Source organism: Homo sapiens, chromosome 14, assembly GCF_000001405.40.
Source record: "Homo sapiens chromosome 14, GRCh38.p14 Primary Assembly".
NCBI classification, from domain to species: domain Eukaryota; kingdom Metazoa; phylum Chordata; class Mammalia; order Primates; family Hominidae; genus Homo; species Homo sapiens.
Window position 1 is genome coordinate 64,193,403 of NC_000014.9, and position 21,286 is coordinate 64,214,688.

A 21,286-nucleotide genomic window follows, 5' to 3' on the forward strand; every position below is an offset into this window, starting at 1 on the left:
ACCTGGGCGTGGTGGTGCGCACCTGTAGTCCCAGCTACTCAGGAGGCTGAGGCAGGAGAATGACTTGAACCTGGGAGGTGGAGGTTGCAATGAGCCTTGATCACACCACTGCTCTCCAACCTGGGTGACAGAGCGAACTCCGTCTCAAAAAAAAAAAAGATTGGAAGGTGATCCTACATAGGTACCCGGCCTTGTTACTGCAAGATCTTAACTATAAAACTAACTTCAAGGTTAAGAATGGTTTTCAGAAGTCCAAGGCCTCAATAAATCAGTTTTAATTCACTGGAGGAAAAAATGGGATTTAGGATAGGCTTCCTTAAAAACCACATTAGATTTCTGATCATTTCAGGTGGTAGCCTCCATTGTTGGATAGATAGGAGAGGAAACCAACATTGCTTATTTTTTAAGTGCCAGGCTCCTCACATAGATTATTTCATTTGAATTCTTAAAACAACACTGCAAAGTCAGTGTGATTCTTCATTTTACGGAGAGGGAAACTGCAGCTCAGAGAAGGTAAATAATTTAGCCAAGGACAATGGGAATTCTGCCCGGGACAGGAATGTGCACATAAGATTACTTGGGCCCTGGTGTGGGTATAAAGAGGCCTGTGATTGGCTGTCCCTCCTTGTTGCTCTGGGAGCTTTTAAAAGTCCTCATGGGCCCTCAGGCAGCTTCTTACAGTGGTGACATCTACACTCTTATGAAACATGCAGGTAATTTCATCAACACAGGTCATTTAAAGCACTATATATATGTTTGGTGATTGTAACTATGTAGAACCCAAGTTGATTTGATGACAAGAAATATTATATGCTACTACGTTCATTTGTCAAATTAAAGGAAGAGTTAAACTTTTTTTATCTGTGTCTATTAGCCCCTCTCCCTCCTCTTTTCTTCTTTTTTTTTTTGAGACAAGGTCTGGCTGTATGGCCCAGGCTGGAATACAGTGGCACAGTCACAGCTCACTGCAGCCTCTACCTTTCAGGCTCAAACAATTCTCCTACCTCAGCCTCCCAGGTAGCTGGGACTACAAGCACACACCACCATGCCCGGATAGTTGTTTGCTTTTGTTGTTTGTTTTTTGTAGAGATGGGGTTTCACCATATTGCCCAAGCTGGTCTTGAGCTCCTGGGCTCAAGTTATCCTCCCACCTCTGCCTCCCAAAGTGCTGGAATTACAGGCATGAGCCACCTGCACCCAGCCTTTGATAACGTCTTTGAAAAGTGACTCAGCAAAACTTCTGAATGCAAGACAGACAACTAAATTACAGAAGGTGTCCTTCAGAACTGCCAATATGTGTGTTCCTCTGTTTTGGAGGAATCTGGATTACCTAAGAACAGTTGAGATACAAATTGTTGGGTGATAGACAGAAAGATGCAAGGTTAACGTTCACAGCCAGCACGGGCCAAAGCTCTGAAAAGACGGTCCTTGGATCTCATCCCCTCAATAGGACTGATGCCAGAGAAGGAGTTGACCTGCCACCTGATCTCACCTATGCCTCCCCTTATTTTTAAAAACCCAGTAGTTGAACTCCTTAAAAATTCATCTACTTTTGTTTCCCAGAACTCCCTCCCCATTTCCTTAATGAGAGAACTCTGCTTGTCCTATGAACCAGAGCTCTGTAGACACAGGTGGGGCTGTGTCTTCAGTGAGTCCCTCTGGCAGGTTGCACATCTTGATGAATTCTTTTAGAGACTTGGGATCAGGGTGAGGAACTCTTTAAAGACTCTTTCTAGCAGCATGTGTGAATAATCTGATGAAAGCGTTCAGTATCTGATACAGGTTGGACAGCGAAGTGGAAAAGCATACCCTCCCAGAAAGTTTACATTGGTTTTTCTCTTGGTTGGAATCATTTTAATGAAAATGATTGTAATTTTCTTTTTGCTTATCTGTACTTTCTAAATGTTCATTATGGAAGATGTCATGTTATAACATGTCATGAACAAATGTCATCAATTTTATGTTCTCTCCTGAATTTCTCTCTGATGGTAGCACCACTAGCAAGGCCTGTCGTCCTTATTAAGCCACTGACAAGGAGGGACTTTCCTAGTACCGTATGACCTTGAAGATTAGCTCCTTCCTGTTTACACTGAATTGCTCTCACTATCAGAAATATCAAATCCATAAAAGGAACTTTTTAAACCAAGCATAACTTCTAAATTTTGCCTACCAACCTGAAAAGCTCACCTACTTTATAGTAGTGGCAATTAAAATGTTACCGTTAAACTCAGAAGTTACGACCGTGGCAGTTGTGTGTTAAGATTGTTTTCCATGCCTTGCAGAATGGGCAGGAATACGTGTGCCTTTTTAAACTGATAAAGCTTTTCATTGCTCTCCTTTTATCTGTATTTTCTCAAGGTTTTCTGGAACACCAAACAATGCTGCTAGTCACGAAGTTGACTTGCGTTGGTCTTAGCAGGTTGCCTGATCCAGTGGGACTGGAAGGATTTAGGGATTATTTTAGCACAGGGAGAGCCAGATGTGAGGCTCCTCACTTCCATTTTCCTTCCCATCAGCCTGATCCTTCTGCCTCTAGAATGGGTGGCCGCTGTTCCCAGACCCTGCAGAAATGCCTTCCTGAGGGTTGGGGAGCTCCCCAAAGGAAAGAGGATAATGAGCAAGCGGCCTGATGGCCAGCATCAGGCAGGTCCAGTGTACTGAGCCTCAGAGGTTCACGTTCAGCAGGTTGCAGGAACAGCCAACCACGTGGGCCTGAGTTAGATGCAGCATTTTGGGAGAACTATTGCCAGATCTGCACTTCTGATTCCACTGGTATAGCACGTGTTTGCTACGTTTCAAGGTGGGGATATAATAATGACTAAATGTTGGTCTTTAGGGACTCCTGAAAAATGATATCAAGTCTCAGAATAAGGCTGGGAATGAGTCTAAGGTAGACTAGACACAAACCAAGCACTGCCACTCAGGATTGTCCGAAGAAACTGAGGCTATAAATAAGGAGGAATTTTCAGACACATTATGGTAAACCCTGGGAGGAGCTAGCAAGGAAAATTACAGAATTTCTTCCTCTGCAATAAATTCCCTTTATACTGCAAAATAGAATTTTTTTGCACAAAGCAGATAAACTAAATGACCCTCCTAAACCAGGATGTTCAGGACCAAAAGGGCAGAGCAGAAAACCCCCACAGGGATATTTCTTCTTTAAGAGGACAAGAGGAAGGCATTCCTATTGGACTCAGGGGCTTCAGATTTTGCTGTTTCTTTTAAACCTGAAACAGAGAAATTTAATTTGAGGAGGACAGAAATCCTCTTTTGCATGCCCCAAATCTAAATGTTTCTTCTCTCTGTTTATAGCACTTCATAAATAACCCATAGCCAAGATAACAGTGTGACTTTCTTCCCCCAGCGTTGCAATCCTGTAGCGTCAGAACAAAGACTGTGTGTGTGAGGAAAAAGCTGGAGATATTTGTTTACTGGAAGGAAGAAAACTGAGATTAAAAATTGCAGTTAGCAGGGGAGAAGGTGTCTTCCTTCCCGCTGGCATTGCCCTGTGCCTGCGAGCCAGCCAGCCGTGCTCACAAGGAGCCTTGGAGAGGGCTGCGTCCGCCTCTGTGCAAGATGCTGAACCAGTGAAGAGGGCACGCTGGGCAGGGGGAGGGGCTGCCTCGGCCCTGGGAGGTGGAGGTGCAGCCGGGAACTTGGAGCTTTCGCTTAAACATAAGGAATGATTTTTTCTCATCAACAGTAAGTGCCATTTTCGTCATCAGCTCTGCATTGGGCCGAGGCGCCAGCTGCTGTCCCTTGTGTCTTGCTCTCTGGCTGTGTCGCTTTGGTTACAATAGAAATCACCGATGAGATGGTGGCTGCGGAGTGTTTGTGCTCAGCCATCGGGGGATGGGTTCTTTCCCAGCGTCAGCATGCGTGTGGTGTCTGCAGTCTGCCTCTGACAAGCAGGGCAGAGGAGTGATTATGCCGTGTGGAAAATGGAAGTCCTCTGGTGACAAAAATGCTTTAAAGAGGCAATGAGCTCAGACGTGTATTGTAATGCCTCTGCCCCTAAATCAGGGCTTCAGGATCTTGGAGTAATGCATTATTTTGCCATAAGGATGTTTAGTCATGTGAAAAGATACAATTGTACAGGATTTGTACAGTGTTTTTTGCAACTGACAGCTGCCCGCAGGTTTGACTATTTGTTTATTTCAGTACAAATTCAGATACTTGAACCATCTCAGTTTTCCTTAGTATTTTTTAAATTAGGCATAGGAATTTTTTTGTTCACTTAGACTGATTTAGGGCTTTTATAATTTAACTGTAGACTCCTGAGCACAGAGGATAGGACTAAATGGTAAATTATTCCATATGTATAAATTTGACATGTAAAGCCTTCATCATACATTGTTAAGGCTTAGGCTTGGTATATAGAATGTTGCTAACCTGACTTGATTTTGTTTGTTTGGAAGGAGAGCAGTGTTCATCAATGTTATATTCTCATCCATTGCTAGTTAAAAGAAAAACTTTATTTGCCTTGATTGTTTTCTGCATTTTTACCCATAATCACTGCAAAAGAACTCTTCTAATTTAAAGCGGCTCTTAGGCATAATTCTTTTGTTTGGTTTCATAGAAAACATTTTGCTTTTGTTCAGGTCTCCCAATAAAGAGCCTATGCAGGTGGAAGACTTCGCTTTTGTACCTAAAAATTTTGTTTTTCTGATTCTCATAACTGGAATTTAATTCAGGAAATCATGCTGCTTTTTCCTGGAGAAAGGTTATTTGTTGAAATGTCTATGTGAGAAATGTTAAGAGCACCTGGGTCAAAACCTGGGCAAGTGCAGAGATGGTGGCCACGGCAGCAAAGCGCTCAGGTGGTTGATGTCAGGCAGTGTTGTGGTTGCTTCTGTGTGCCAGCAGTCTGGTTTCTGAATAGGTTTTCTCATTTCCAGATATTAACTTGAGATTTTAAATTTTTCAAGAGTAGTGTTAACAAGGCCCAACAATGTGGAGGTCAGTTGCCTGGGTTGGCAAAAGACAAATACTTCCTGACCTGGGACAGGTGATAATTAGATTACAGTGTCTGTACAGAACAGAACGATACACGCTCAGCAGTGCACCTGATGAGTCCCAGGGTAAGTTGTTACCTGATGATCAGAGGAACAACATTTAGATTCCCAGGCATTTGGAGGTATTAGGCCTCTGGATGGAGTTTGGGATATACCGGCTAAATCCTGGCTGGATGAGTGCTTTGTCACTTGGTGACCTTCTTTTCCTTCCCTCCCACCTTCCCCCCCTCTTTAACTTGCACTAAGTATGCCTGTGATGTGAATGTCCGTCACTGCTTCATTGGCCCTGTGTGAAACCAGGGCTGAGGAGCACGAGTGGCTCCTAGGCTGGCAGCACACTGCTTTGTGGCAGAAGGGCTCTGATATGCTCTGGTCTTTACCTCTTTTCTTTAAAAATCTAATTTGGCCACCTCTTTATGAAGAAGACAAATCAGACAAATTGGAAGGTATGAGTGAACATCATTTACTCCTTCAACAGCTATTATTGAGCAACTCCTATGTTGTATTACAGTGTCAACATTACATCTAAATTAGGTGATGACCTCTCTGGGAAGAAGTCCTATCTTCCAGCTATCTCTGAATCCTCAGGGTCTGTGCAGGATCCAAGACAAGGCAAATGGTTAAGTGTTTACTGAAAGAAAATCATGGAGGGGAAACGTGGGCAGCATGTATTGAGCCTTCCAGCCTCCTCCCCAGGCACCTGCTAAGAGCCCAGGTTGTAGCATCTACTATATCAGCTCCTACCCCTCAGTGTATCCTGAGCTATGAGTCCAGACTTCTGGTCATGTTCTCTGACTGCAGCAAAATGATCCTGTATCTCCAGTATGTGCATGTTAGTGTGTGTGGGATTATGTGAGAGGATGGGTAGTGCTTAAGAACAGCAGCTCCAGACCAGACTACCCAGGTTAGAATCCTGCTTCCGCTATTGACCATGTGACTTGGGCAAGCTCTTTACTCTCTGTGCCTCGGTTTCCTCATCTGTCAAGTAGGGATAATAATACTACCTATCTCCTAGCATTGTTATGAAGAGGAAATGATGCCTGTAATCCTAGCGCTTTGGGAGGTTGAGGCAGGTGGATCACTTGAGGTCAGGAGTTCGAGACCAGCCTGGCCAACATGGGGAAACCCTGTCTCTAGTAAAAATACAAAAATTAGCTGAGCATGGTGGCAGGTGCCTGTAATCCCAGCTACTCAGGAGTCTGAGGCAGGAGAATCACTTGAACCTGGGAGGCGGAGGTTGCAGCGAGCCCATGTCGCAGCACTGCACTCCAGCGTAGGCGATAGAGACTCTGTCTCAAAAAAAAAAAAAAAAAAAAAAAGTACATGAGTTGCTAACATGGAGCACAACAGGCCTAGCACATGTGGCCATCAGCGTGGGATATAGATGTTTTATTTTAATAATTAAGTTTATAATTTTAAAGCATACACATTGTAGAAATTTTAAAAGAATGGGATGACAGTAGACAGTCTCATATTTTATTCCTACACCCCATTGGTTTGTTCTGAGCACCCCATTTTGGATACCACAGCCCTGGGGAAACCAAGCAAATTATTCCCCCACCTTCTCCATACCCCCTCTGCGTGTTGCACACCTAACCCCCAGGGTTAACAGTTCAAGATCACCACAGTCCTGTGGATCTGTACCCAGGCTGTTGTGTTGCTAGTTAGCTCCTTTCATTTAACCAGTTGAATTCTTCCGGTGTGTTAATTGCTTTAAGTTAGAAGAGAGGAAACAAGGAAAAAGAAAAATATATATAAATAAATACTTGGATTCTAGCCCTCTTCTTTTCAAAATAAGAAAGAGGCTGAGATTCTTAGGGTGGAATAGGGTCAGGGGCTAGATGAAGGCCGTGGGAGATTTCATTCTGGGAAGAGGGAGAAGTGGGGAGGGCAGGAGAGCTGTGCAGAGGTCACGAGCCTGAGCCCTTCCCCCACCCCCGGGAAGCTCTCGTGGCTGGGCCTCTTCTCCAGCAGAGCCTTCCAGGAGGGCAGTCCCTCAGGAACTGCCTGGAGGACTCCTTGTCCCACAGTGCCAGGGGTTCTCAGCTACCCTGGTAGTTGTCTGGAGTGTTCTTTTTGGAACCAGGGCAATCAAGGTGGCAAGATACTGGGGTGAGGAGGGTGTACCTCTGAAGCCATAGGAATGAAGGCAGGATCTAGGTTACAGCTGTATCCAGGCCTGGTCCTGGATTCTGTTACTTTCTTTTTAATAAATCATCTGTGGCTTTGAAGGGAACGTATCCTTGTGGTGTTTGCAGTAAGAATGTAATTTGGAAAACATGGCTCCTTGAAACTTATCACAACTGTAAGTTGCTGGGCATTTATCTCCGAGGCATTCTGCCTTTCACATGTTATATCTCATTCAGTCCCCTCAGCTACCCAGTGAAGGAAGGTACTACTGTTAACACCATTTTATAGATGGCATTAAACATGGCCAGGACGCAAACCCAGGCCCTGACCACAGAGTCTGTGTTCTTCCACCTCCAGACCACATGTCCTTCTTCCAAGCTTGCCCTTGAGAATAAAACACTGATGAAAGAACTTTGTGAGGTCCAATGCCTTGTAAATAAAGCGTGATTGTAGCATCATGTGGTCCAGCATTCACTCTGTGCAGCTGACTTTACATGCAGCCTCTTATTTCAAGCTCACCGCCACCTGCAAGGTGGATAATTTTACAGATCATGAAGAAACTCAGAGTCAGCGGTTAGGTACATTGCAGGGTGCAGAGCTCTTAGATGGGAGAATGGAACTTGGGCCCAGGTCTGCTTGCCTCTGGAGTTCCGGCCCTCACCTCACCCGATGCTACCACTTCCCTGAAGCTTAAGCAGCTTTGCGGGTGTACTTGAAATAAGGGGGCTGAGGTGAAAGGACTTTCACTAAATCTTAAAAGTAGCTGGTAATGGAACTAGAAGTCAGTCCCATGGAAGTGCCTGTCCGTATTTGTCCATTCACCAAGCATTTGTGGAGAGCTTCCTGCCCACCAGGCCCTGTGGGAGGTGCTGTGAGTGCGGCGGAAACTGGCCGGCTGCAGCCTGGCCATGGCACTCCCTGTCCTGGTGGGTGCACAGTGTCTGAGAGAGTGCAAGGTTAGAGGCAGAGTGGCCCCTGAATGCTTGAGGTACAGAGATCAAGGGGCTGAACCGGTTTTTCAGGGTAGGGCAGGGACTATTGAAGGCTTTGAGCGTGGATCAGACTTGCCTTCTAGAACTTACTTACACTTTGGCTACAGAACCAAAGGTGGGCAGGAAGTCTAGGGGGCTGAGAGGAGGTTGTTCGGTCAAGTAAGAGGTGATGGTGGCATGGAGCACAATGCTTCCTGAGAGTTAGGGTCAGTGCACCCATTTATCTCTCTAGTGCTCCCAGCTATGGGGTGCAGTTCTGACAGCATCTCCCAACGTAAGTATTGATAAGTGGGAACTTTCCATTGGAGCCATTACTTTTAAATGTCTGAAATTAACTACAAATCCCACAGAACGCCAGGACAGATCCTGGCTCACCTCGCTCTGCTTTAGGACTTTAAGGAAAGCGGTTTATTGGAGCATTTTATTTTAGTATATATGTCAGAAAAAGATTGTTTTCCCCCAACAGCTACATCACGTCCCCTTGACAGCATGTGGACGTGCACGCCAAGTTGTACTCATGCCATGCGTGTGCTTTCAAATCTGCTCCACGCCGAGTTGGGCCGGATGGGAGCTGAGGCAGACTGGCGAGGGAGATCACATTTAGAACTGCGCTTGCGTGCAGATTTCCTTTGCCCCCTCCCTTTTAGACGGACAGAGATGCCCCATAATCTACCCGCATGGGCTGGTTCAATGTATACGGCTGGGTGAACCCCTCATACTGAAGCGGTAGGGCTTGGCACATGTTCTCTGCTTACTCAGAGAGGAGGGTCCCATGAGAGGCCTTGTGGACCAAATACCACCAAGTGAACCAGGCGTGTAACATCTTTAATCTCCCAGGGTAGATCACCGGCTGCTGCAGTCTCAGGCATACCCACGGCAGAAACTGGGCAGAAGTCAGGAGTGGTTATTTTCACTTAGGAAAAAATGGCATATCTTCTCACCTCTGGAGCCCCAGGAAGATGAACTGGGTCTCAGGGGCTCTCACTCTGGGAATGATAGGACTTCCATTTGCATGGGTGGATTAACTCTCAGTCCTTTTGAAAATCAACAGAGGCAACAGCCTTGCAAAGCTTCACATATTCTCTGAGAACTCGTATCTGGTGACATGAGAGTTGTTCTGATATAAAATCAAAGCAAAATAGATTCTTTTTTACCCTGCAATGCTCTTACTGGCACATTCTTCCACCACTAAGTATTGGGCTTTTGTTTTCCATCACTGGTTTTTTTTTGTTTCGTTTTGTTTTTCTGCAAATATGTGTAGGGTGAAGAAGCTGAAGGAGACCTTTGCTTTTATTCAGCAGTTGGACAAAAACATGAGCAACCTTCGCACCTGGTTGGCTCGAATTGAGTCTGAGCTTTCCAAGCCTGTTGTTTATGATGTCTGCGATGATCAAGAGATCCAGAAGAGGCTCGCTGAGCAGCAGGTGGGACAATCAGAAATGAGCTCTTGCAAGAGTACGGTGTCCGCGATATGCACTGACTGAGGCCTTCCCCGTATATCTATGTGTTTTCACGTGCTCACATTCCATAACATTGGTTTGCTTTTTCCAGAGAAAACTGACCACCTTTCCATGTTCTTATATCTGTCTCTTGAGTGCTCCCTCCCACATTCATGTAGCTTTTTGTGAAACTGTGTGAATACTGTTTAAGATGCAAACCTTAATCTTGGTGGTTAATGAGATTTTTTTAATTATGTCTTTTTTTAACTGATCTTTGTTGTGTTTTGTTAATATAGTTTTGAAAGGCAATGAATTGAAAGAAAAGCAACTTTTCTAACCAAGGAAGGTTTTTATGGGATTATATTCTGTGTGTCTGGTACAGCTTTTTTAAAAAATTAAAACAAGAAAAGGTGTGATAAGGAACATGCTTGGACCAATAGTTTAGGAAGCCTCTTAAGAGCTGCAATGCTCTGTGCATTTTTGTTATCAGATATGCATGCTCTGAGCCAACCCTGGAAATTGGGCAGTTTGAAAGCTGCTGAGTTCTGCCAGTGTTTCTCATTGTACCCACCTGACAGGTGCTCTTTGATGTCACTGGTTTATCGAATCCACTTTCCTGCCTTCCCTGGTCTCATGGCCACATGCTCATTCTCACTTGTAATGCCTGGATATGTCTTTACTTTTTTTTTAAATAGCTAAGTTTATCTTATTCTTTCTTTAGCTTTTGTTCACCTGTTTTTCTCAGACCTATGGGCAGATTCTGTTTCAACCATAGAAGCAGTATGATTCTCAGACTTGAATCTGTTTTCTTCATGTTAAGCCTCCACCACACACCACATACCACAGGTGCTTGGAGACCGGATTGGGGGTGAACCTTTTTCACCAGATTTAATATTTGATACTACTGTTGACATTTTTTTAAGAGATGGAGTCTCACTATATTGCCCCGGCTGGTCTTTAACTTCTGGGCTCAAGTGATCCTCCCACCCCAGCCTCCTGAGTAGATGGCACTGCAGGCAGGCGCCACCATGCCTGGCCCTCCCTGCTCTTGACTTTTCTAAGTGCTATTACAATTACTGTTTAAAAGATACCTGTTATCTGGCTTTCAAAGTGATATGATTTAGTAATGCTACAAATTAAAAATACTGGTTTTTCCACTTAGCCTTGGAACTTTAAGCATGTCTTTTTCATGGAGGTCATCTAGGCTCTGTCTTTGCTTTGTGCAGAAAAGAATATTGATATAAGTATTATGGAATTTTAATGGACATTACAGAGATTTTAATGCGTCTCTCATTGGAGTCACAGCTACTGAACACATCAGTTTTACTTACAAGTGTGATCCACTAGGATGAATGTCTTTGAACAGACTGTGAAAAGGCAAGGCCTTGCAAATAACAATTTACCCTGAGTGGTGAGTTTTTTCAGGTAGATTATATGGAAGCTGTCAGTATCTTTCCCCTTAAAGAATGGCTGGCTAAATTTTGCAGGGGCTGTTGATTGTGTGTTAATTTTTTATAAATCCGAAGTGTGACAGAACATTAAATTGCAGAGAATTTGTTCCCAAAAGCATACAGTTTGGAGCCACTGCTATTCTCTTAGCCTTATTTCTTCCCATCCTACAATGGCACATAATTTCAATCTGGTTGATTTGAAAATTCTGTCTTTATAGAATTCAGCATCACCTTAGTGACATTTCTATCCCTTGGTTACTTAAAAAAAAAAAATTAATGGAATTGGTGTTCAGGACTACCATTATTGTAAAGAAGTTAAATGCTGTGTTAGTTTTCTACTACTGCTGTAACAAATTACAGATTTAGCAGCTTAAAAACGCAAATTTACTATATATCTGGAGGTTAGAGATCTGAAATGGATCTCACTGGGCTAAGATCAGGGTGTCATCAGGATTACGCTCCTTTCTGGAAGCTCTGGGGAGAATCCATTTTTTTGCTTTTCCTGGTTTTTAGAGGCCACCCACATTGCTTGGCTCACATGCGCCTTCTTCTGCCTTCAACGCCGTCAACATTGCATCTCTCTGTGTCTGTCTTCCTAGTCACATCTCCCTCTAGCTGACTCCTCTTCTGCTGTTAAGGACCCTTAGGATTACAGTGGGCCCACCCTGATAATCCAGGATAATCTCCCTATTTCAAGGTCAGCTGATTAGCAACCGTAATTCTCCTTTGCCGTGTAATCTAACATATTCACAGATTCCAGGATTAGGATCTGGATGTCTTTGTTGGGGGGTTGGGGGGTGTCATTGTCATTATTCTGCCTACCACAGATGATCTCAGGATACTTTCAGTATTTTTGTTAAAAAGAATAAGTTACAGTGTGTTTATATTATGCTAAACTCAGACCTTAAGTACCCCATCCAAAACACTGGAAACAAATGTGTCACACAAAAGAATTATGTATGGGCCACTTTTTAAAACCTTACCTAGTGACCATTTTTGGTCTGGGTTAAAAAAACAACCACCTTACCTATGTTTACTTTTCAAACTAAATATAATAAATTAATTGCTTCCAAAAATAAGACCTAAAAACATGGCATCACCTAGTATTGCCTTCTGCAAAAGCCCTCAGCCCCCAAAAGTAGCTAAGAGCCATGATGTCCCCGGATCCTCACTGTAATATACCTGGTTGGGGAGGGGTCAGACCCTATAGGAGTCCTTTCTGTTTCACCTTTCTTATATAGAACACCTTTAAGTATAAGGTAATGGGGGTTATTCCTACGGAATATATCATCTTTAAAATGCACAGGAAGTAGTGGCAATTTTGTGACACTTAAATCACGAACCACTTTCATTGAATCTTTAAGATCCCTGTCCTAGTTTGTTCATTGGTTGGTTGCTTGTTTCTCTGTGGGGTGCCAGATGGTGGCTTGGAGTTGTTGTTAGTTACCCTTCCACTGGCTAATTAATAGCCCCTGCCGTGGGCCAGTTGAGCTTCACCTCAAACCCCCTGAACCATCCCAATACCATCCTGTCCCACTTGCTACCCAAGCCCCTCCCACAGACACATTCAGGAGCTGGCACTGGGGGCTTCACGCTATATGATTTTCTGTCTTTTCAGCCTGTTTTTCTTCTCCTCAGCCACCCTTACCTTCTGTTTTTGGTTCCTTTTTATTCTCATTCTTCTGGCTGCATTCTCTTCTCCAGTTTCATGTCTCCCCTTCTCCTCTTGCTCTGTACCCCCTGGCCCCCAAGTTCCTCCCCAACCTCAGGGTTATGTGTCACCTGCCCAGGGGCAGAAAAACGAAATGAACAGGAGCCTGTTAGAACTGTTGGCAAAAGTCTTTCTCATTGTTTTATGTTGTTTCTTAAATCCACTTTTTCTCTAGGTTTGGACAGTTTCTAAAACCTGATTCTTGTGCAGACTTAGGTCTCCGTGGTTACTAGCGGTAGGATTATTTCAGCTTGCAAAATGTTCTTGTCTAGCACTTAAATGGTCTGCATTTTAAAATGTAGTCTATCACTTTATTTATTTTTTTTTTGTACAAGGTAACTAGTAGGCCATTGTGTGGTGTTTTACATGGTTTTTAAAAATTTTTTGAAAATGTTTTTTGAAAAGTTTTGAAAATGTTTGGGCTTTTTTTTTTTTAACCAAGATGTTGATGGTCTTTTATAAATTATTGTAGAGTTCATTTCTTACGGCCATTTACCCTAAATATTAATCAGTTTTCTTTAGCCATTTGATTCAATGTAAGCTGAATAAATAATGTAGGATAATTGCAGAGTTTATTAAAATACAGAGCATTCATATTGTCCATAAACTAGAACTTCTCTCGGCTTTTCAACTAGACCTTACCCACCTGGAGCCAGATGAGGTCATGGGCATTTTTCAGTTATTAATGATTAGTATTATTTATTTTAATACCAGTATTAGGGTTCCTAATTTATTATTTTAGTATTTACATGGGATATGTATCTTCTAATTTTAGAAGGGCCCATGACAGTTCTGTGAACCGGTAAGAGTTCTTAAAACTGGAATTTTATTTAGATGTAATAACTTTAAAGTTAGTCCTCAAATTGACTCCAGGGAGACTCCCACCATTCGAGCATATCAGGCATTCTACCCACACTGCAGAGCTTTAAAGAAATCACCCTGCACATTCTTCACAGTGCACACAGGGTGGCCAAGTGGAAAACACATCTCTTCTGAATATAACCTGGTGGTGTTCATTTGTACTCGGGATCAGTGTTAGGAACTGCCTGATTTAAAATTCAGTTGGCGGGTTAGCATTTTATTTTCTTATATCAACCTAAACACTCAATGATCGGAATTGTGTATTTATATGAAGAAAAGTAAGAGAATAGGGGCTGGGCGTGGTGGCTCACCCCTGTAATCCCAGCACTTTGGGAGGCCAAGGAGGGTGGATCACTTGAGCTCAGAAGTTTGAGGCCAGCCTGGACAACATGGTAAAACCCCATCTCTACCAAAAATACAAAAAATTAGCTGAGTATGGTGGCCAGCTGCTTGGGAGGCTGATGTGGGAGGATCACTTGAGCCCGGAGGTAGAGGTTTCCGTGAGCCAAGATCGCACCACTATAACAGAGTGAAACCCTTGTCTCAAAAAAAAAAAAAAAGAGAGTATGAAAATAGTGGTCCCATCTAGTAATATAGTAGTAATCTCAAGTTATTTAAATATGAAAGTGACCTGGAATGAAGCTTATATTGCCTTTCTGTAGATGGTGACAGCTACCATTTATAGTACAGTCCTCTTATTAACTGAAATTTGTTGAGTCCTGGGAACTGGATTTAGTCTAGTTAATAGTGGTTAAAGTAGTGTAGATTTTAGAAATTGGTATATTATCAAATAATTAAAATAGAATTTAACTTAGTGTTTGCTTTCTCACAATGTAATTTGGATATTAAAATTAATGCTGTGGTCTCATGTCACTTGTCACACAATTTGGACATCAGGGATGCCTAACTCTTCCAGAATGGCAAAACAGGTTCCTTATCTCTCTCCCTCCCCGCAGCCCACCCATGGGGTACAGCAGAAATATTATCTGATGATGACTAAAAATGCCATGTTTATTCGTGAAGAGGTTTTCCAGTTTTTTCCTATGACCATGCATTTTCTCTTCATAAATGTTATTTTTCCCAAATTGGGGAACTGCATCACTATCATCATCAAAGGACAAGACTCCAGAGACCCCACCTCTCTCCAAGCCACCACAGCTTTGGCTGGACTTTATCAGTTGGGGAGGCAAGGTCTGTCTGCCAGAATTTCTCCCTTGGGCTCATGAAGCCCTTGAATGGGCTCACGGGGAAGCTGTGGGCATCCACACTGCTGCATGCACAATTTGGTGTGTGTTTGAAGAGTTCGGTAGCTGATAAAAGATTGAGAGTTCCTGCTGAAGAGACTCAGTTTCTAAAGACCTCCCTGAAACCAAGTCTAAACTGGAGCCCTTTGGGGTTGGGTGGTATGGAGTAGATCCCATGCATACCCGAAGTCTGTGGGGCGATGGGCTCTCAACAGTAATGGCGCCACCTGTCAGTGCGTAGAGGACACCCATCACCGTGGCACCCCTCACATGGTTCAGCGCATAAGTCCTAGATGTTTCCAGTGTTTAAACTTTGTGTCAGGTGCTGACAGCACAAGGGTAGCACAAAGATGAGAGGGATTCCATGTGTACTGCCAAGTTCATGGTGGAAATCCACCCAGGGAAGTATCCCCTGAGCTGGGAGAAGGGAGGGAGGAACGGAGGTCCTTTGATGCTGACCCTCCTGCTGCCACCAACATCTCAAGAGGTTTCTTACTCTGTTGTAATCACAGGATCTACAGCGAGATATTGAACAACACAGCGCAGGGGTGGAGTCCGTGTTTAACATCTGTGACGTCCTACTGCACGACTCCGATGCCTGTGCAAATGAGACCGAGTGTGACTCGATCCAGCAGACCACCAGGAGCCTGGACAGACGCTGGAGGAACATTTGTGCCATGTCCATGGAGCGGCGCATGAAGTAAGAACTAAGCTCCCCCAAATGCCTTCAGCGTGGTCAGCCGAACTCAATACACCCTTCTGACCTCATTCACAGTAACTATTCTGTTCATTTCACTTAGAAATGCGCCAGGTATTGGCAGAGAAGGCCCAACGCTTATCAAAGGATTTATTCAAGAAAAATGTAACCGGAGTAATGTCTCTCCCCAGCTGTCCTGTGTGGGGTGTGGCTGTGGACTGGCCGCTGTGCTTCCGTTGACCTAGCTGGGCAGTAGTGGAGGCAGCCCTGTCTCCTGGTTTTTTAACCTCTGTGAAGCAGGAGCTCTGAGCTGCTTGGCGCTCCCAGGCAGGAGGAGCACAGACAAGAAGTGGCGTCCCTCTTATTTCCCAGAAGGGGTAACAGGGTCTCCCCCACTAAACCGTGCGGGTGTCAGGGGATAAAAGAAGTGCAAAAGCACAGGCTTGGAGGGGATGGCTTGTGTTAAGTTGCTTTGCTCCCATCAGAATCGAGGAGACGTGGCGCCTGTGGCAGAAGTTTTTAGACGACTATTCTCGCTTTGAGGACTGGCTCAAGTCAGCTGAGAGGACGGCAGCCTGCCCAAATTCCTCAGAGGTGTTGTACACGAGTGCCAAAGAGGAACTGAAGAGGTTTGAGGTAAACACCTTCTCCATCCCGGTCTCCTGATCATAACCAAGCCTGCAGCGAGCCTGGGGGCTGCTGAAATGACTTCCTCTAAGTAGCCAGCTTCCCCTCACCTCTGGCAAGGGCTGCCTAAACCACAGCCTGCCCCCAGCTGCTGAGACAGCTTTGCAAGACATTGCTGATGTACTCCAGCTGCTATGTAATGAACTTGAAAGCCTGTTCTGTAGCTGGCATCAGGACTGGTGAATTAGGCCCTCTGCTGCCATTGCAGTTTGGGGATGAACCCCTGGCAGCAGGTCGCTTGGGATGTAGAAGGGAAGGAGGGCGTCCTGGCACTCTGCATGCTTTGGCTCTGACCCCTCCCATGTGATGCAGGCCTTTCAGCGGCAGATTCATGAGCGGCTCACTCAGCTGGAGCTCATCAACAAGCAGTACCGGCGGCTGGCCCGGGAGAACCGCACAGACACGGCCAGCAGGCTGAAGCAGATGGTCCACGAGGGCAACCAGCGCTGGGACAACCTTCAGAGGCGGGTCACAGCCGTCCTGCGGAGACTCAGGGTGAGCTCCTCTGCACCTGGCTCGGGTGTAGATTTTCCAGGAGACATAACGCACGATACGCAATGGCAGGCTTGTGGCACAAAGCAGCAGGTAGAAGGTTTCACTTCAGGCCTGAGCTGTTTTAACAGTCCTCCAACACAAAGAAGCCCAAAGCTGCCAACGTTCGTTTTTTAAAAGGGGGATTTGCATGTGGGGCTTCTTAGGCAGGGCCTGTTGATGAGATTTGCGTTACCAACGCACAGCTCTTTTTACAACTTCTGTAACCCGTGGTGGTGTGCATGTTAGCTCAGAGTCCAGGGCGCCGCTTCGCTGGGTCTGGAAAAGGCAACACGTGGGCCCCTGGAAGGAGCCCCGCTTTGCCCATCTGTCTGTTTTTATGGGACCCCCCCCAGCTCTCGCACTGAGGAGGATGGACAAGGCACGTGAATGCAAGAGCCCCTGTCTGCACTGGGGGGTTGGGGACTGTGATTATTCTCTGAATTTCAGAGCACACAAAGGTTTGGTTTTTGAAGGTAAATATTCACCTTAGATTTCTGTCATTCAGAAGATGTGCTGTGTAAACCTGTGTGAATCCAGTTATAAACTGAAAGGACTGTCACAGGCAGGGACTACAGGACACAATTTTAATTTCTGCGTCTGTTCTCAGGGCAGAGCATGGTTGAACCCATTCTAGAAAGATGTAAATCTGGGCTTTCTTTCTTTTCTTCCTTTCTTTTCTCTCTCTCTCCCCCTCCCTCCTTCTCAGGAAGACATTGGCTTTTCTAGTAACCTAGACAACTCCCTTGCATTTCTTTCTGTCTCTCTCTCCCTTCCTGTCTCTCTCTCCTTTCCTGTCTCTCCGTCTTTCTTTCTCTCTCTTCTCTCTTTCTTCTTTCTTGACAGGGTCTCACTCTGTTGCCCAGGCTGGAGTGCAGTGGTGAGATCATAGCTCACTGCAGCCTCAAACTCCTAGGCTCAAGGGATCCTCCTGCCTCAGCCTCCTGAGTAACTAGGATTACCGGCGTGCATCACTGTGCCTGGCTGATTTTAATTTTTGTGGAAATGGGGTCTCACTATGTTGCCCAGGCTGGTCTCAAACTCCTGGCCTCAAGTAATCTTCCACCTTGGCCTCCCAAAGTGCTGGGATCGTGGGTGTGAGCCACCATGCCCGGCCTCTTGCATTAATTATCTCCTGCCGATCTGGCTGTGGCTAATCTGCCTTCGTTTGGCACTGAAGCTATACTGATCTGAACATCAGCTGCCTATCTGTGAAGCAGTAACCTGAGAGGCATCCTTAATTGGAGATGATACAACTGCTCTGAGTCTTCTTTCTCTGGGAAGACACATTCAGAATTCTATCAGTGAAGGCAGAAGGGGGCACCAGGCTGGCCTCAATCCTGATATCAAGGCTTTTCCATCTTGAAGCTACTAAATCCTTCCGTCAAGCAAAAGCTGCAGAAGGCCAATGTGTAAAACAGGCAGAAGGCCTGGCCTGGCCCCTCAGGGGGCTCTTCAAAGGACAGAGGAAAATCACTGATTTGGACTAGAGAATTTTAGAATTTCAAATGCTTAAGGACCTCAGAGACCATAATCAACATTCCCACTCTCTCCCCGACTTGCCAGCGTAGAAGCTGGGGCTCAGAGAAGTTGAGGGGGCTTGTTTGGTCTCACAAAGCCAGAACCAGACCCCAGCCTCTGAACAACATAGTGCTTCTGGGGCTTTCTGGGTACCCTAGAGGCAGATTTCTCCCTGAGTATTCTGGGTACCCTTTTCTTGTGGCCGAAGGTGGCCTTGCTGTCTGTCTGAACTCTTGTTCCGTGGTCAGTAGAAATGTGATTTCCTCCCCACTTTTGCAGCATTTCACCAACCAGAGGGAAGAATTTGAGGGCACCAGGGAGAGCATTCTGGTGTGGCTCACAGAGATGGACCTGCAGCTGACCAACGTGGAGCACTTCTCAGAGAGTGACGCCGATGACAAGATGCGCCAACTGAATGTGAGGGCTGCTGCTTCCCTAGCTCTTCTCAAAAGAACACACCTTTGCGTGGGAGAGCTGGCCAAGTGCAAATTTCACACGATACTCTGAGAGCAAATTTCAGAATTCTTAAAGCAGCCAGGCTACATCCCACCTGTGTACTACCAGATTATCACGTGCAAGGATACTGTTCTTTACGGTCCAGGAGTATGGGTGTCACCAGTGGGGCCAAGAACAGAGGTCCGCTCTCCCATTGTTTCTGATATCTGTATGACAGGCTAATCTCACTGTAATTCTCTCCTTGGCCAGATTTTGGAAGAGGTTGAGAAATGGAAATTTGCCTTCCCTAGTATAACAGCACCAGTGAATATTATTGTGTCAGCAAAAGCAAATGCCCATTCGTGGCTTATTATGGGAAATGTTCTGTTCCCAACAAGTTTTGCCATGGCAAGTTCTTTCTCTCACACCTAATAACAGTAAATGTCCACCCGTGTCAAACTTTTAGAATTATTTTAATTGGAAAAGCCAGTGCCCGTGAGGGGGAATATAGACAATCACTTAAAATTCTTAAAATGTCATTGTCACTTAGTTAAAAACTAAAGCTAGAGTAGTAGGTGAAGGAAAACAACAATAATGACATTTGGATGCTTTTCTATGGCCCTGTTAGAAGAAACAGGCAGTGGAAGCTCAGGGTAACTTTCTTTGAAATCCTTTCTTTCTCCTCTCTCAACAGGGCTTCCAACAGGAAATTACATTAAATACCAACAAGATTGATCAGCTCATTGTGTTTGGGGAGCAGCTGATTCAGAAGAGCGAGCCCCTGGATGCTGTGCTGATTGAGGATGAGCTGGAGGAACTCCACCGCTACTGCCAGGAGGTGTTTGGAAGGGTCTCCCGGTTCCACCGGCGGCTCACCTCCTGCACTCCGGTACGGGCACTGCTGCCTAGAAATGGCACCTGGGCTGCTCAGAGTTTACGTGAGACCAAATTTTTAAAGAATTAGGGGACCTGTCTTATAATGGTTAATTATGGTTTATTTTTTGGTTGAAAAGAAAGGGCTATATCAAAACATTTTAATTTCCACTTTTATTAATATAGAGCCACAGTAACTTACAAGTTCCCATTCCCCAGTGGAAAGCATGGCACTTCTGAGGCGCATGCTCCACGAGTCGCTTTTAAGTATTCCTCAGGGCTGGGCTTGTCTGGCATGCGTCACTACCCCTAGAATTCTTGAAGAACTCTTCTGGCTTTTATTACATTAGTAACTTAGGAATGTATTTGCCCTTCCCTCTTTCTTAGAGGCTGGAAGCTTTTAGTATTTGTGCCTTTCTGATGCTTTGTTCTCACCTTGGAAGAGAAAACACAAGAGTTTCAAAAGCAACTTTGATGTTTCCCCAGACGAAAGGCCCTTTTGGGAAGTTCAGGTGGAGTTAAGGCCACTGTTCAAAGCGTACTGCCTTTGTGTGCCTGAAGCTTGAATGACAACCATTGACCGATACGACTGGCCACTCTTTCTTTTTTTGTGTCTCCAACTGGCCACATTCAAATGTAGTTATTTCATCAGACACAGCCTCAAAAATTACCCCACAATTTCTCATTTTTAAGTACAGCCACTTAGAGTCATTTTTCTTAGACTGAAAGAGACGTTATGACACAAGCAGAATACAGACACTGAGCAATTAAGTTGGAGGATAAGAAAGAAAGAACCTGGTGCATCTGGTTGAAGTTTGAGTCTTACCCAGAACATTCAAATGTCCTTTTCAAAAATAGTCTGATTCTTGGAGGAACCTGCCATTAACCATCAATGAAACTTTGGCCACCATTTCCTTATCTCCTAGATAAAGTTGTTTAACTTAGATTATCAAACTTCAGCTTTTTTTTCCTAAGAAAAAATAGCTGGAGGTTTGGGAAAATAACAGATTTTAGGCCCCACTCCAGATTGTCTAAACTGGAATAACCAGAAACAGGACCTGGGAACCTGATCTTTTTAAAGCTGCCTTAGAAATACTATTGGCAGTTATTTTTGGAAACTGCTAGATAGGCAGACTTCTCATGCTCTTCTAATTGCAGAAGCCTATGAGTTGATTAATTCTAACAACTGGATACTGTGGTTTAGGGCTTGGAAGATGAAAAGGAGGCCTCTGAGAATGAAACAGACATGGAAGACCCCAGAGAAATCCAGACTGATTCTTGGCGTAAACGGGGAGAGAGCGAGGAACCGTCATCTCCTCAGTCCCTGTGTCATCTAGTGGCCCCAGGGCACGAGCGGTCTGGCTGCGAGACCCCTGTCAGCGTGGACTCCATCCCCCTGGAGTGGGACCACACAGGCGACGTGGGGGGCTCCTCCTCTCACGAAGAGGACGAGGAGGGCCCATACTACAGCGCACTGTCAGGTAACAGCTGGGTTCCCAGCACCCTGGAAAGTGACCCGTTTGGCTATGTTTTTAGCCCCTTAGCAACACGGCCAGCTCTCAATGACCAAGAGTCCATCTTGTGGCCGACCCTGACTTCTGTGGTTTCCTGTGCTCTATCCTGCCCATCTCTTAACTTACCTGAGAATTGGCTCACTCTCATCACAGGTGGAATGAAAGGGGGAAAAAAAATGAAATTC

The 21,286-nt window shown here is 44.9% G+C and overlaps 1 protein-coding gene across 32 annotated transcripts in view, besides 3 other annotated features; it reads left to right on the forward strand.

Annotated features, from left to right (window-relative positions):
* The window catches only part of SYNE2 (spectrin repeat containing nuclear envelope protein 2), a 464,854-nt gene that overhangs the window by 431,807 nt on the left and 11,761 nt on the right, over window positions 1-21,286 (forward strand). For 28 of the 32 annotated variants that reach the window (XM_047431152.1, XM_011536576.3, XM_047431149.1 and 25 more), the window contains 7 exons: window positions 9,399-9,561; window positions 15,356-15,543; window positions 16,026-16,176; window positions 16,540-16,722; window positions 18,559-18,696; window positions 19,409-19,603; window positions 20,792-21,068. In XM_047431152.1, coding sequence (XP_047287108.1) covers window positions 9,399-9,561; window positions 15,356-15,543; window positions 16,026-16,176; window positions 16,540-16,722; window positions 18,559-18,696; window positions 19,409-19,603; window positions 20,792-21,068 — 1,295 coding nt within the window. Of the gene's footprint in view, window positions 1-3,612; window positions 3,703-9,398; window positions 9,562-15,355; window positions 15,544-16,025; window positions 16,177-16,539; window positions 16,723-18,558; window positions 18,697-19,408; window positions 19,604-20,741; window positions 21,069-21,286 lie in introns of those variants that run through there. The other 4 variants (XM_017021103.3, XM_017021104.3, XM_047431161.1 and 1 more) reach the window with 2 other exon arrangements.
* Window positions 3,126-3,722: an enhancer, noted in NCBI's record as "H3K27ac-H3K4me1 hESC enhancer chr14:64663246-64663842 (GRCh37/hg19 assembly coordinates)". NCBI's record gives its function as "activates a minimal SCP1, AML or CMV promoter by ChIP-STARR-seq in primed H9 embryonic stem cells {active_cell/tissue: H9 hESC(primed)}" and the evidence as "EXISTENCE:reporter gene assay evidence [ECO:0000049][PMID:30033119]".
* Window positions 3,126-3,848: a biological region, named in NCBI's record as "H3K27ac-H3K4me1 hESC enhancer GRCh37_chr14:64663246-64663842".
* Window positions 3,699-3,848: an enhancer, noted in NCBI's record as "active region_8522". NCBI's record gives its function as "activates an Ori minimal core promoter by ATAC-STARR-seq in GM12878 lymphoblastoid cells {active_cell/tissue: GM12878}" and the evidence as "EXISTENCE:reporter gene assay evidence [ECO:0000049][PMID:35858748]".